This window comes from Homo sapiens, chromosome 11 (genome assembly GCF_000001405.40).
Source record: "Homo sapiens chromosome 11, GRCh38.p14 Primary Assembly".
In the NCBI taxonomy this organism is placed as follows: domain Eukaryota; kingdom Metazoa; phylum Chordata; class Mammalia; order Primates; family Hominidae; genus Homo; species Homo sapiens.
In genome coordinates this window covers 9,406,340-9,423,359 of record NC_000011.10, presented here as the reverse complement: position 1 = coordinate 9,423,359, position 17,020 = coordinate 9,406,340, and the positions used below count along the sequence as shown (strand labels likewise).

General features: G+C 38.8%; 1 protein-coding gene across 1 annotated transcript in view; it reads right to left on the bottom strand.

Annotated features, from left to right (window-relative positions):
* The window catches only part of IPO7 (importin 7), a 63,476-nt gene that overhangs the window by 24,768 nt on the left and 21,688 nt on the right, over positions 1-17,020 (bottom strand). Inside the window, exons 3-9 of the mRNA NM_006391.3 lie at positions 14,721-14,874; positions 13,274-13,432; positions 8,949-9,105; positions 6,212-6,301; positions 2,855-2,949; positions 2,662-2,746; positions 220-354 (exon numbers count right to left, since the gene is read on the bottom strand). Of these exons, the coding sequence (NP_006382.1) occupies positions 220-354; positions 2,662-2,746; positions 2,855-2,949; positions 6,212-6,301; positions 8,949-9,105; positions 13,274-13,432; positions 14,721-14,874 (875 nt within the window). The remainder of the gene's footprint in view (positions 1-219; positions 355-2,661; positions 2,747-2,854; positions 2,950-6,211; positions 6,302-8,948; positions 9,106-13,273; positions 13,433-14,720; positions 14,875-17,020) is intronic.

Here is a 17,020-nt window from a genome sequence, read left to right as displayed (position 1 = left end):
CAACAGTTTTGGATTAAAAGATAAGTTGAATATTCACAAGATACCTCTCATAACTTTATGTCACTGTCTTATCTCCTTTTTCTGCTATACTCTCAAAACAATCACCAGAAGTAGTCTAAGTAACACAACTCAACAAACATGCAATTTTTCAACCTTTATGGCAATTGATGTCATTTCTATTATATTTACTATAAAAACATTTCAGATAAAAATTATTACTTGTATATGGGGCTTCAGATTCTTCCAGGTGAGAGCATGAGAAACTCCTTGATTAATATAATTTAATGTCTGTTGTAAAACTCGAGGAGCCATATATTGCTTCTCCTTGTACTGATATAACACCTTCAATAAAACCTTGGAAAAAAATTTTCGATCACAAATCAATGTTCAAATAGAAATTTCAACCACTTACAAGCCAGTAAAAACAGTTAACACATATTTTAATGACAAGCTCATCATCAAGAAAAACAACCGTATACTTTGAAAAATAATTTAACTCATTTCTGATTAAGAATGAAAAGAAGAGAAAACTATATACTATCTTCGTTTTTCTGGGGTTTTTTTTGTTGTTGTTGTTAGAGACAGTGTCTCACTACGTTGCCCCGGCTGGTCTCTAACTCCTGGCCTCAAGCGATTCTCCCATCTCAGCCTCCCAAAGTGCTGGGATTACAGGTGTAAGTCACCACACCTAACCCATTTGCTACCTATTGAAAAACCACAGTATTGGGAGAAAACCCTATCTTGTTAAAGCCATCTTCTGGGAAAACCTTACCCAAAGCAGTCAACTGCCTATTTAGCATCTGTCAATAGTTCTAACTCTACTTCATGTTTCAGAACACTGACACACAAAATGTGGTCCACAAACCTCTAGTGGTCCCCAAGACTATTTCAGAGGATCTACTAGTTTAAAGCTACTTTCATAATGATATTGTCTTTTTTTAAAAAAAAAAACAAAACTGTGTTTTGAGTAAATGAGTATTTGCACCAATGGTACAAAACCATGGTGTTAAATGTTCTGATGCCTTATTTGAATCAAGAGTATGATATTAAATTCACAGTATTTTTATTTATTTATTTATTTGTTTATTTATTTATTTATTTGAGATGGAGTTTTGCTCAATGGTGCAATCTCGGCCCACCGCAAACTCCGCCTCCTGGGTTCAAGTGATTCTCCTGCCTCAGCCTCCCGAGTAGCTGGGATTACAGACATGCACCACCACACCTGGCTGATTTTGTATTTTTAGTACAGACAGGATTTCTCCATGTTGGTCAGGCTGGTCTCGAACTCCTGGCCTCAGGTGATCTGCCTGCCATGGCCTTCCAAAGTGCTGGGATTATAGGCGTGAGCCACCGCGCCCGGCCAAGTCACTGTATTCTTTACAGCCATATTCTTATAGAACAAGTTTTCTTTTTTTTGAGACGGAGTCTTGCTCTGTCGCCCAGGCTGGAATGCAGTGGCAGGATCTCTGCGCACCGCAAGCTGCACCCCCCAGGTTCACGCCATTCTCTTGCCTCAGCCTCCCAAGCAGCTGGGAATACAGGCGCCCGCCACCACGCCCGGCTACATTTTTGAATTTTTAGTAGAAATGGGGTTTCACTGTGTTAGCCAGGATGGTCTTGATCTCCTGACCTCGTGATCCGCCCGCCTTGGCCTCCCAAAGTGCTGGGATTACAGGCGTGAGCAACTGCGCCCAGCCTTAGAACAAGTTTTTCTTAAGAATTTTTTTTTTTTGAGATGGAGTCTTGCTCTGTAACCCAGGCTGGAGTGCAGTGGCGTGATCTCAGCCCACTGCAACCTCTGCCTCCTGGGTTCAAGCCATTCTCCTGCCTCAGCCTCCCCAATAGCTGGGATTACAGGCACGCACCACCACGCCCAGCTAATTTTTGTATTTTTAGTAGAGACGGGGTTTCACCATGTTGGCCAGGCTGGTCTCGAACTCCTGACCTCGTGATCTGCCCGCCCTGGCCTCCCAAAGTGCTGGGATTATAGGATTATATTCTCAAAAATGAATAAAACGAGTCCCTCATTTCAAGGAAAATTGCTGACAATATGTTACTGGTGTTAAAACTTGAGGTTTCAAGCAAAAATTAGAATTCTGGGCCGGGGGTGGGGGTTCATGCCTGTAATCCCAGCACTTTGGGAGGCCAAGGCAGGCGGATCACCTGAGGTCAGGAGTTCAAGACCAGCCTGACCAACATGGAGAAAACCCGTCTCTACTAAAAATTCAAAATTAGCTGGGTGTGGTGGCACATGCCTATAATCCCAGCTACTCGGGAGGCTGATGAGGCAGGAGAATCGCTTGAACCTGGGAGGCAGAAGTTGCAGTGAGCCGAGATTACGCCACTGCACTCCAACCTGGGCAACAAGAGAAAAAAAAATTATTGTCTTAACATATAATAGGCCTGTTATTATATTTTAATGAACTGTTTACTCTAATTTCTAATATGATAAATATTACTAGGTATAACTCACATAAATGAGAACCCAATGGTATCCTAAGTAATTTGAACATAAAGAGATCCTGAGACCAAAAATGTTTGAGACCTGGTACAGGGTCCAAACAGGCACTCTTTAGATGTCAAAGAAACTGGGAATAAGCAATATATAAATTAACTTAAAGATGCCATGTTTCCACTGAGAAAAACTAAAAACAGACTTACTTGCTGGACACCAACAGCAAATGCCTTCAGAAATACTTCAGCAAATTCATTATACTCCTTGGAAACATTGCCAGGGCTTCCATATCTAAAAGAACATCAAAATGCCCATTGTTTCTTTATAATGCTTTATGCTAGCACTTTAAAGCAAAACCTTAATAAATTAATTTAAATCACCATATATGGATGAGATTACCTTTCAAAAAGTCTTGCTAAAATATGTAAGGCCCACTTCTTGCATTTCCACCATGGTAACTCAGGTCGATCATCTTCTTCAACTTGAAGTGTTTCCTTTAAAAAGACACTTATTTAATGATAGAGATAATACAATATAGGAGGAACAGCATGAGATGAGAATAGATTGACAAAAATGTGAATGCTTCACTAATGCTGGCCTTTTTTTTTTTGAGATGGAGTCTTGCTCTATTGCCATCTCAGCTCACTGCAAGCTCCGCCTCCCGAGTTCACACAATTCTCCCGCCTCAGCCTCCCAAGTAGCTGGGACTACAGGTGGCCGCCACAACGCCCAGCTAATTTTATTTTTGTATTTTTAGTAGAGACGGGGTTAGCCAGGATGGTCTCCATCTCCTGACCTCGTGATCCACCCGCCTCCGCCTCCCAAAGTGCTGGGATTACAGGCGTGCGCCACTGCACCTGGCCTGATGTTGGCCTTTCATAGTAGAAGGTTAGACTTGGAAAAGTATTAACCCTATTTAAATCAAAGAGGCATCCTCACTGCTTCACTAGTTGGTTATAAAAGACATGCTTTTTAAAATAATTCTACAAGCTTAAAGCCAAACATTTTAGCCAAGATCTAAATAGTATAGTCAAGGCCACGACAATTGTAGCTTAATCAAAATCAGTATATTTCATAATGGAAAGGGCATGAGAAACTCCATTTCAGAAATCTAGTTTCAGATATATAAGTATAAATGCGCAACGATTTGTGTATGAGAATATTAATTATCATATTATTTGTAATGGTAAAAAATTTCCAAGAACCTGAAGATTCATTAATAATGTTCAATTATGGAAGATCCATAAAAGACTCCTATACAATCACTGAAAGAAGGAATTGGATCATTATACATTAATAACCTAAGACATCCATAACATATATATATATATATATATATATATATTTTTTTTTTTTTTTAGACAGAGTCTCACTCTGTTGCCAGGCTGGAGTGCAGTGGCACAATCTCGGCTCACTGCAACCTCTGCCTCCCTGGTTCAAGTGATTCTCCTGCCTCAGCCTCCCGAGTAGCTGGGACTACAGGCTTGCACCACCACGCCCAGCTAATGTTTGTATTTTTAGTAGAGACAGGGTTTCACCATGTTGGCCAGGATGGTCTTGATCTCCTAACCTCGTGATCCGCCCGCCTCAGCCTCCCAAAGTGCTGTGATTACAGGCGTAAGCCACCACGCCCAGCCTATCCATGACATATTTTTTTAAGTAGGATAAGGAAGTGAATATACAGAGCAAGTGAACACTCTCATACATCGCTAGTGAAAGCAATGCTACAGCCACTTTGGAAGTTACTTGTAAAGTAAAACATACACCTACCTTATGACCCAATTCCTTTCTTTGATATTTATGCAAGAGTGTGAAAAACATGTGACCACAAAAAGACACGTAAGAATGTTCATAGCTTTATCTATAATACTGAAAAAGTAAAACTACCCAGATGTCCATCAACATACATAAATTGTGATATATCTATACAATGGGATACCGCTCAGCAATAAAAAATAATAAACTACCACTATACAACATGAAAGAATCTTATAAATATATTAAGTGAAAGAAGCCAGGAACAAAAGATTACTTACTAAGTTCTAAAACAGATTAAATCTATTGTGCCGGGAATGAGATGATGCCAGAGATGACTAGAACCAGCCATGAGCAAACATTCTGAGGTGATGGCTACATGGGTACATAATAATTGTGCTAACTCACTGAACTGTTTATTTATAATCGGTGCACGGATTATAAATTGTACAACAAAAAGGTGCACAATATGTATATGAGAACTTTAAAAGTTATATTTTATATCTATTAAATGTGCAAAGAAAAATATACACCAAACTAGTTTCCTATGGAGGGTGTAGAAATGTTGTTTCTTCTGCATTGTTCATAAACCTTTTTGAAACAAATCTTTAAAAAAATTAAACTACAAAATAGGACTTTGGTCTCACTTATGCGATTAACAATATTATATTGGATAAATTACATAACCCTCCCATGTGTAAGTTTAAAATAAAAGTCAGAAGGATTTTGAGGGTTAAATAAGTATATATTAATAACAGTACATAAAACACACTGTAAAATAGGCTAGGCACGGTGGCTCACACCTGTAATCCCAGCACTTTGGGAGGCTGAGGCGGGTGGATCACAAGGTCAGGAGTTTAAGACCACCCTGGCCAAGATGGTGAAACCCTGTCTCTATGAAAAATAAAAAAAGTTAGCCAGGCATGGTGACAGGCACCTGTAATCCCAGCTACTTGGGAGGCTGAGGCAGGGAATTGCTTGAACCTGGGAGGCAGAGGTTGCAGTGAGCTGAGATCGCACCACTGCACTCCAGCCTGGGCGACAGAGTGAGACTCTGTCTCAAAAAAACAAAACAAAACAAAACAGCGTATTCAGTAATCTGTAAATTCCCCTATATCTCTAGAAAACTAGACTATAGGCCGGGCACAGTGGCTCACGCCTGTAATCCCAGCACTTTGGGAGGCCAAGGTGGGCGGATCACCTGAGCTCAGAAGTTTGAGACCAGCCTGGCCAACATGGTGAAACTCCATCTCTACTAAAAATACAAAAATTAGACGGGCTTGGTAGCACACGTCTGTAGTCCCAGCTACTTGAGAGGCTGAGGCATGAGAATCGCGTGAACCTGGGAGGCGGAGGTTGCAGTGAGCCGAGATTGCGCCACTGCACTCCAGCCTAGGCAACAAGAGCGAAACTTCAGCTTAAAAAAAAAAAAAAGAAAAAAGAAAACTAGACTATAAAGAAAAATTATAATAATTTTAAAAAGTTTGATTATACAAATAACACAATTGGACAACTCTGAATGTACTAAAAACTACCAAGTTGTACTTTAAAAGAATAAATTTTACTGTATGTGAGTTATTTCTCAATAGAGTTATTAAGAAAAAATAACATAACTACAAAAGTTGGCCAATCTGTAAATCAAGTTCTTCCTCTTCCTCTGTACGTGGGCATCTGACAAATTAACTAGGCTAAGAGCCAGCTATGAGCTCTTAATTTATGAACTGAGAGGGAACAGAAGATTTAGGATGAAACAAAAGGACAACAGAAGAAATTAAACCAATAATATATTTAAAAAAACACCCTTTACAACTTTTTACACTAAGTAAATGTACAGATGTAATGCATATATAAACAAATGAAAAGGTACCTCTAATCTAGAAAAAAATACATCACCATATTATAAAAATTCATAAAGAATGTTACAGGAAACACCAGTTAAAGTCTTCAAAAGATCATTAAATATTTACATTTAGTAATATAAGAGAACATACAGAAACTTACATTAGGTACATCCCTGTTCACAACAGTCTTTAAAATTTCTATCCATTCTGTCAGGTTCTGTTGGTTTATCAGTTCCAGTGGTAGTGTATACTAAATAAAAGTCAAGAATTAATATTTCGAAATCCTTGCTAAAGAAAATCCTACTTCTTTTTACTCTTCACAATACCTACCAAAAGTATTTCATTCAATCCACATTTCCTGCTTTTAGTACATAGGCAAACTTCTTTGCTTGTTATCTATAATGGTAAACAGTGAGTGGGCATCCTTGCCATATTCCCATTTTACTGGGATATTTTATTTTCACCATAAGGTGTGATATTTATTGTAGATTTCTAATGAACACCTTTCATCAAGTTAAGAAAGATTCTGTTCTAGGATTCTAACAGTTGTTTATTTTTTTCAAAGCAGACATGGTTATTTAATTTTATCAAATGCTTTATCTGACATCCATAAAGATGTTTACAGGTCTCTATTTTAACGTGATGTAAGGGTTAATTACAAAAACTAATTTCTTACTGTTGATCCATTCTTGTATTCCTGGGATAAATCCTATTTCTCAGTAGGCCAATAAAAAAGTTATCCAATTTGGGATTTTAGGACATCTATTTTCACAAGTGAGACGGGGCTATATTTTTACAACAGGTATGCTAGTCTCAAAGAATGAGTTGAGAAAGTATTTTGTCCTATTCCCTATGCCCTATGATAGTTTTCAAAAAGACCTATTATTTAATCCAAAAGTTATGATCCTCCTAGTTAGAAAAAATATTGAAAAGACTAGTGTTTATTCAAATTACTTAACAAAAGAATAACCTAAGAGTCCAATAGAATGGCATTAAGGTGCCCTTAGATTCAGAGTGGGAGATACCTGAATGTCTTTAAAGATCTAGCAAAGACATGCAAAATCCAACCAAGGAATAGAGTTAGGCAAGTACAGTCTTAATGGAGGTGAAGTCATAGATCTTTCTTCCTTCTTTTTAAGAGACCAGGTCTCGCTCTGTCAGGATGGAGTGCAGCCTTGAACTCCTGGTTTCAAGCAATCCTCCAACCTCAACCTCCAGAATAACTGGGATTACAGGCTTACAGGTGCGAGCCACTGTGCCTGGCTCTGATTTATTTAAATGAGATTTTTAAATGTAATGGTATGACTTGAACCAATGATCTTAGCAGATGAGATAAATCCTTCTATGGTACATGATACAACAAAAAGAACCAGAATTTTCCTGGTTTTTAAAAATCTGTTTTACAAGTAATTACATTTCACTGCGAATACTGACCCAACCATTTCTTTTTTTTCTTTTTTTCTTTTTTTTTGGGACGGAGTCTTGCTCAGTCGCCCAGGCTGGAGTGCAGTGGTGCGATCTCGGCTCACTGCAACCTCTGCCTCCTGGGTTCACACCATTCTCCTGCCTCAGCCTCCTGAGTAGCGGGGACTACAGGTGCCCGCCACCACGCCCAGCTAATTTTTTGTATTTTTAGTAGAGACAGGGTTTCACCATGTTAGCCAGGATGGTCTCGACCTCCTGACCTCGTGATCCGCCCGCCTCGGCCTCCCAAAGTGCTGGGATTACAGGCGTGAGCCATCACGCCCGGCCCCAACCATTTCTGTAGTGGGTATCTTTTATCCTAGAAAAATTTAGAACATACAGAAATAATAAAAGCCATTACTGTGTACCAGTAAAGCCCACTGATTTAGTATTTTTGCGACAAGTTTAGGAATACGTTTTGTACTGAGACAATCTATGTATATTTTGCATATCAAGTATGTGTTAGACTTCAACTGTAATCAAGTAACTGGTTTTCAGATTCACTAATTCTTTTTTTTTTTTGAGACAGAGTTTTGCTCTTGTTGCCCAGGCTGGAGTGCAATGGTGTGATCTTGGCTCACCACAACCTCCGCCTCGCAGGTTCAAGCTTTTCTCCTGCCTCAGCCTCCCAAGTAGCAGAGTTTACAGGTATGTACCACCAAGCCTGACTAATTTTTTTTGTATTTTTAATAGAGACGGGGTTTCTCCATGTTGGGTCAGGCTGGTCTCGAACTCCCCTCCTCAGGTGATGCGCCCACCACAGCCTCCCAAAGTGCTGGGATTACAGGTGTGAGTCACAGTGCCCGGCCCAGATTCATTAATTCCTAAGGTGAAAGATACTTTCTAAATTGACTAATTTGGTTGCAGTGGATGGTTTAAGATAATTTGACATTGCCCATTTGCAATTTAATATTTATTAGGGGCCAAGCACGGTGGCTCGTACCTGTAATCCCAGCACTTTGGGAGCCCAAGGCAGGTGGATCACGAGGTCAGGAGTTCGAGACCAGCATGACCAACATGGTGAAACCCTGTCTCCATTAAAAATACAAAAATTAGCCAGGTGTGGTGGCACGTGCCTGTAATCCCAGCTACTCAGGAGGCTGAGGCAGGAGAATCGCTTGAAACCGGGAGGCAGAGGTTGCAGTGAGCCGAGATCACGCCACTGCACTCCAGCTGGGCGACAGAACGAGACAGTCTCAAAAAAAAAAAAAAAAAAAAAAAAAAAGATTCATTAGGGTTGTTTATGTATTTGGGGAGGAAGTATGCTTGTTTAGACTTATAATTTTTGCAATTTCTATTTTGCTAGAAAATCATCCACTTAATGTAGATTTTCAAGTTAACTATTATTCAAATGCTGAAATTCTTTGTTAATTTTTAACACGGTAAATGACAGACTAACTTTTTATGCATAAAAACTGCTTCACAGATATTACCTGAACAAGAGCATAGAAGATCTTGAATATCTGTTTCTGGATGAGGACAGACTGATCAGACTGGTCAGAAAGAAGCTGGATAAAACGATCCTTTAGAACTGGCAGAAAATGCTGCATTGCTGCTACCAATGGACTCCGCTCCTCTGGTTTTTTATACCTTTGAGTAGGAATACAAACTAATTCTGTAAGAATTTATTTCCACAATTGTATATATATTTAAACTATGCATTTATTTACACAAATATAATCAAATACTTCTTAACCAATTTAGAAAAAGAAAAATATCTAGAACAAAACCATAAAAAGGAAGCATCTTGAATAAAACCTTGAGTAAAGATTATCCAGTATTTTCTGAACATGTATTATGAGGTCAATAATCTTCAAGGCACACATGAGTATCCTCACTTTTGTAGTTGAGGAAACTGAGGCACAGACGTTAACTATCTTTCTCAGTATTACATAGTTAGGCATGAACCTAGGCAACTGGAATCCAAGGTCTGCCCTCTTAACCACTTGACTATGCAGTCTCTAACTGTGAATCAATTGATATAGATGAGGAGGCATAATGAAATTTTTTATTTATCAGCTGCTACTATTCACACAAATATAATCAAATACTTCCTAACCAATTTAGAAAAAGAAAAATATCTAGAGCAAAACCATAAAAAGAAAGCATCTTGAATAAAACCTTGGGTAAAGATTATCCAGTATTTTCTGAACATGTATTATGAGGTCAAAAATCTTCAAGGCCCACATGAGTATCCTCACTTTGATAGTTCAGGAAACTGAGGCACAGAAATTAACTATCTTTCTCAGTATTACATAGTTAGACATGAACCTAGGCAACTGGAATAGGTTATTGACCTCATAATAAATGAGGAAAGTAATAATAAATTATAAATATTTGTATAAATTATAAATAATAAATTAGGAAGTATTTGATTATATTTGCGTAAACAGTAGCAGCTGATAAATAAAACTGATTATTATTACCATCCTTAAGTAATTTACATACCAACAGCATTAAAGCAGAAATGGTATGTATAAAGCAGAAAATATTTTATTTCTAAAAGCATCATAAACCGTAAGTTCTTCTATTAACCCATAGGGCAACAAAATGTGACCAACAGGCTATCAATTATGAGCCAAGATTGTGCCACTGCACTACAGCCTGGGTGACAGAGAGACTCAATCTCAAAAAAAATAAAAAAGTATCGTTAAAAAGTCTGTTGGGGGCCGGGCGCGGTGGCTCACGCCTCTAATCCTAGCACTTTGGGAGGCCGAGGCGGGAGGATCACGAGGTCAGGAGATCAAGACCATCCTGGCTAACACGGTGAAACCCCGTCTCTACTAAAATGCAAAAAATTAGCTGGGCGTGGTGGCGGGCGCCTATAGTCCCAGCTACTCGGGAGGCTGAGGCAGGAGAATGGCATGAACCTGAAAGGCAGAGCTTGCAGTGAGCCACTGCACTCCAGCCTAGGCAACAGAGAGAGACTCCGTCTCAAAAAAAAAAAAAAAAAAATCAATCAATCAAACAAATTTGTAACTACACAAAAGCAATTCCAGTATCCTTTTTTTTTTGGAGAAAGTGCCTCACTCTGTCACCCAGGCTGGAGTGCAGTGGTGATCATGGCTCACTGAAGCCTCAACCTTCCAGGCTCAAGCTATCCTCACACCTCAGCCTCTTGAGTAGCTGGGACTACAGGCATGTGCCACCACATCTGGCTGATTACTTTCTTTTTTGTCTGTAGAGAGTAGGGGAGAGACGGGGTTCCACTATGTTGCCCAAGCTGGTCTCAAACTCCTGGGCTCAAGTGATTCGCCTGCCTCAGCTTCCCAAAGTGTTGGGATTACAGGCTGAGCCACTGCTCCCAGCCCCAGCTTCCATTATTAAGGAGTCAATAGGCAGACTAAATTTTTAAAATACAGATTACTGATTATAGAAATCATTATTCTAAGAGCCACAGCTTATCTTTTTGGAACAGATATTATCAAAACAGCTTTAAATTGGTTTTCCATAGCACATCCCAGTTGTATTTATTGGTATCCCTCTTCCTTAAGAGAGAAAATATAAAGAATTGAGTATCTGAGTACATTTTAAAATGATACTGGGAGACTCTTTTTAAAAGCTATTTTTTTTCCTACCAGGTGAAATGAGTAACAAAGTAAATCACCAGGAATAAAAAATACAAAAAGGAATGTTCACATTAACAATGACTGCTAAAGCTATTAACACTATCTACTGACAAATTATTTCAAATATTACTTTAAAGTGCTAACAAATTATACCTAGCATACATTTTAAAAGGTTATCTATACCTTTGAGTTGACAAAATAACAATTCACAAAAGAAAGCCATTTGCACTCTCCAATCTGATTATACAAACTACAATTATACACAAAATTCCCTTTAAACACTAAAAGTGAGAACTAATATTATGCAGCTCTATTTATGCATCACAGGTCCATCACCCACCCTAAGAGAGTTTAAATACTTGTTCTACATCAGATATTCTCTCCTACCTCCCTCAATACCCTGAATAGTGGACTGGGAGTTGAGTGGTACTAGTTGTTAATCTAAGCTAATGAGTAAAAAATTATGGTACCAAACTTATTACTACCCTGTAAGACCTGAACATTCCTGAAAGGATGAAAATATGACACTAATAAAATTCTACTACCACAAGGCTGTGATGTGTCAAACTGCAGAACCATACTCATAGAAAATCCTTAAATACTAGTCTTATCACTATTCTGTTAAAAAAAAATTTCAGTGGTTCTCAGTATCTAAAAGATCACATCCAAATTTCCCATTCTGGCACTCAAAACCCTCTTTAACATGGTCCCAATTTACCAGTCCAAAACTATTCCCAACCTCTCACTGGAAATTATCAGCACCATTAAGCAGTCTCCTCACTACCCACTAAAGACAGCATCTCACATTTCCATCTCTTTCTTTGTTCATACCACTCCATATGGTGTGACACGCCTTCCTCTTCATATGTTCTTTGTGTTCCTTCAACTGACAAGCATTTCCTGAGGATCTATGCTCCTGAGGACCACCAAAAATTCCAATTTCTCTGTAAATTTTCTTAGAACTGCTTCAGTCCACACAGATCCCTTGTGAACACCTTGTGCTTCACAACGAAAACACTGGCTGAAAATGAACTGAATTCCAATGATGTAGCAGCCTCCTGTATCTCCCACTTAAAAATCCCTGTCATATTCCCTCCTGCTAAGATTATGGGACAGGAGGGCCTTGAACCTCCTCAATGATATTGACAGCTTATTGTTTTTATTCTCTCCAATTTTAGTCACTCACTTACCAGAACTGTAACAGCTGGAACATTCCTTAGCAGGAAGATGGGTAGCTGGTGGGAACACAAGAAAACACCAGTACCAATGCTGTAAATGGTATATTTCTCTCCTGCTCAGAGAATAAAAGCAGCAGTTCATCAGCCACTTTGAGATGGGACCCAAAGAGGGTATTGGAGGCTAACTGCAAGTCCCAGAATTAGAGGGGTCACAATGGCATCTGTGTAGCTGTTAAGACTGGCAATAAAGTCACGATCATGGTATAAAAGTCTTCCTTATGCCTTCCTCGTAATATCCCATCAAACCTTTTCAAGTGCCTATCAACTATAGACTTAAAAAACTCCTTCAACATGTGGCTTACCACTCTCAGTGCTATACCTCAACTTTCTAGGTTAGATCTTTTTTTCCTGATCCCTAAAACAAGATCTAAAATAATCACTTGGCCTAAAATCTTTTTTTCTAATACTAATGACCTATATGAACTATAATCTGCTTAAATATGCAACAATGAAATAGGTGAGTGTGAATCCCCCAAAACACACTGATTAAAGAAGATCACATGAAATTCCAATGAATTCTTCTTAAAGAATCAGAGGAAGTTAATCAAGAGCCTAAATTAAGATAAAAATTCACAGAAAAAAAAGCCACAAGTAATAAAGAGCTTTAATCCTCAATGTATTCTGATCACCTTCACATTTTAGAAAAACTTACCTGAAGGACTTTTATCAGCACACATTGAGGAGGCCGTCTTTAGAGACAACTTAGTTTTTGAATAGGTAAAGAGACGGTGATTAAGAAAAAAGGGTGCAAGGAGTTTCTTAGTAGAATAAAGAAAAGCAACTGCGGAGTTAGAATGCTATGTCAAAAAGAAAATAATAAATTGAAATTACCATATAATTCACTAATTTTATTATCTATGCTAAATATAATTTTACATGTTCAAATTGGCTTAAATTTTCCCAACTTTTCCTACTTCTCAAAGCTCTATAGGAGTTGAAAGAAACACTTACTCATAATTTTTCACAAGCTGATAAAGGCAAAGAAGAATTCCTAGCCAACAAGCACTGTTATCGGACTGAAGATAAAAGCCAATTTTGTCCACAATGGCAGTCCAGCGGCTTGGATAATCATGTTTGATGATGTGATGAATGCATGTAGTAAGCTGTACCCTGGAAGCCAAAAAAAAACAGTAAGGAAAAAATCCTAACTAGGTAAGATTTTGCTAACCCATAGAAAGGAAAATAGCTGTTTAGACAAAATCTAATTTCAAAATAACCCAGTGATTTTAGATGTACACAGAATATATATGATTCAGAATAAGTCACTGAGCAAACGAAAACCAGCAAATGTTACAAATACAGGTGTTTTATTTTTCATTCCTATCATCAATAAACAAGTTTCATTTGAGAACATCAATTAGGCTGGGTGCGGTGGCTCACACCTGTAATCCCAACACTTTGGGAGGCCCAGGCGGGAAGATCACAAGGTCAAGGGATCAAGACCATCCTGGCCAACATGGTGAAACCCCATCTCTACTAAAAACACAAAAATTAGCTGGGCCTGGTCGTGCACACCTGTAATCCCAGCTACTCCGGGGGCTGAGGCCACTGTGCCCGGCCCACAAGTTTTATATGAAGTTTTTGGTTTCGTCAATGTGAAATCAAACTGTAGTAAGAAAACAAATTACAGGCCAGGCATGGTGGCTCACACCTGTAATCACAGTACTTTGTGAGGCCTAGGCAGGTGGATCACTTGAGGTCAGGTGTTCCAGACCAGCGTGGCCAACATGGTAAAACCTCGTCTCTACTAAAAATACAAAAATTAGCCAGGGATGCTGGTGCACGCCTGTAATCCCAGCTACTCGGGAGACTGAGGCAGGAGGATTGCTTGATCCCAGGAGTCAGAGGCTGTAGCGAGCCGAGATTGCGCCACCTCACTCCAGCCTGGGTGACAGAACAAGACTCAATCTTAAAAAAAAAAAAATGACTAAGGCATTCTCCTACAACAGCATCTGTTGGGTAAGTTTTCTGCTACAAAAAAAACAGGCCTATATGTTCTGAAAAGCCCCCAAAAGCCCCCCAGAAAAGCCGGGTGCAGTGGTTCACGCCTGTAATCCCAGCACTTTGGGAAGCCGAGGCAGTTGGATCACGAGGTCAGGAAATCGAGACCATCCTCGCCAACATGGTGAAACCCTGTCTCTACTAAAAATACAAAAATTAGCTGGGCGTGGTGCCATGTGCCTGTAATCCCAGCTACTCGTGGAGCTGAGAGGCAGGAGAATTGCTTGAACCTGGGAGGCGGAGGCTGCAGTGAGCAAGGATCGTGCCACTGCACTCCAGCCTGGCCACAGAGGGAAAGTCCATCTCAAAAAAAAAAAAAAAAAAAAAAAAAACCAAAAAACAAAAAACCCTGAAAGTTACACACCTGCAGAAATGGGTAAATTTTAAAAATACATACCTGATGAGCTCAGGAGAATGGATAATGGCTTCTACAATATTTTCTCGAATACAATGGCGATCTTCTTCTGGAATAGTATAAGGGGATATATCCCCTGGTGCTGTTTCTCGATCAGGCCAATACTGTGTTATCATATTTTTCAGATAGATAACACCTAAAATACAGATCAGTTTGACAAAAGAATGTTTACTGTGAAAGTACTGTGAAAATCCCACAAGTGTCCATACCTCAAGTATTTCTTTCACACTACCGTTTGTAAAGCTATGCTTTCATTAACAAAATACTACATTCAATTATTTTTAAAGTTGATAATGCACAAATTGAACACTGTTACAGCAATCAAGCACAAAGTTATTACGAATCACACAGCATAAGAAAACTCTGCAAATAAACAACCCCAGAGAAAACTGTTTTTTTTTAACGTCACAACACTTTTAACCCTGTTTTCTACAGGAGAGTTAAATTAAATCAAATCAGTTTTCTAAATGAAGCCTCTAAAGACAAAACCATCATACATATCCCAACATAGCTTCTACAACTAATCACACAAAGGTAATAAAAAAACCAGTTCTTATCACAGAAAAATAATAGCATATAAAGGTTCTTAATCTATAAATTTAAGTATTTCAATCCCATACCACTTCAAATTCAAATTATGTTATGGGAGAATTTACTGTGTTCAGAAATTACAGATTGCTATTTTTCTGTCAGTTATCATACTGCTACCTTTGCACATTGCTATTTGACAAAAGTTAACAAACTGATGAAGTGGTAAAATCCAGGCTGCTAGCAAAGCTTTTTACCCAGCACTTTCAGAGAGTGGGGGAGAACAGAGTCACAAATCTGTAAGATGTACTGTAAAGGGAAACTGTCCAAAATTAATTCTTAAATTCTGCAAAACACTCGATCTTCTCTAATTAGCAATTCTTATCTCAAGTCCTGTACTTATTTGAACAAGGATAACCGACAGAAATAGGATTTTTATATTCTAGTTTGCTTTAATTTAGGAATTAAATATTCCATATTATAGTAATTCAAATAGATTAAGATTATATATTAAAATACCCCTCAACAAGGTATTTTTATGAGATGGAGTCTTGCTCTGTCACCAGGCTGGAGTGCAGTGGTGCGATCTCGGCTCACTGCAACCTCTGACTCCCTAGTTCAAGCGATTCTCCTTGCCTCAGCCTCCCGAGTAGCTGGGTTTACAGGCATGCACCACCATGCCCAGGTAATTTTTGTATTTTTAGTAGAGACAAGGTTTCACCATGTTGGCCAGGATGGTGTCGCTCTCCTGACCTCGTGATCCACCCACTTCGGCCTCCCAAAGTTCTGGGATTATAGGCGTGAGCCAAGGTTTTAAAATAAACTACACCTACAATAAAGAATCAAATAGGACCAACAAAGTCCAGGTTATTACTACTACAGAATTTTGGTTCTTTTTCTCCAAAACAGAATAGAGACCAATACTAAGACCACACAACAGTCCCAATGTCTCTGGATGCAACCTCTGAATACTTCCATTCTAAGTAAAGAATGGAATATATGCTTATGTGATTCGGAATTTTAAACATTTTTTGCCCCAACAATACAGAATTTGGAATTGCACTGTAAGGATCTCATGATTCAGTCTACTCTAGCCAGAATGCTTGAGCAAAGACAGAATGAACTAATCATTCGAAATCCAGCAGATGAAACCACCATATGCCATGCACTACAGAAATCTCATTCAATTATTCCAAGAACATAATTTTTTTTTCTTTTTTGAGAAAGGGTCTCACTCTGTTTCCCAGACTGGAGTACAATGGCACAATCTCAGCTCACCACAACCTCCATCTCCCAGGCTCAAGCGATTCTCCTGCCTCAGCCTCCTGAGTAGCTGGGATTACAGGTGCATGCCACTACCACCCGGCTAATTTTTTTGTATTTTTAGTAGAGACAGGGTTTCACCATGTTGACCAGGCTGGTCTTGAACTCCTGACTTCAAATGATCCCCCATCTACGGCCTTCCAAAGTGCTGGGATTACAGGTGTGAGCCACCGTGGCCAGCCCCAAGTATATAACTTTTAAATTAATGATATTTTAAATTTTTTGACCAATTCCATAGTTTAACTCCTTCCAATTGTGTACACACTAAAACAATTTCCCAGTGTAATTTGTTTTTCTAATACACATAACCAAGTCTCTAGAATTTATTAATATCACTCCTAAAGGTCAAACACTTAACTTCTTAGTAAAAATTTGGATTTAAAGGCAGACTCTTATCTAAAAACGGGAAAATGTGAGCTTCACTAGTAAAA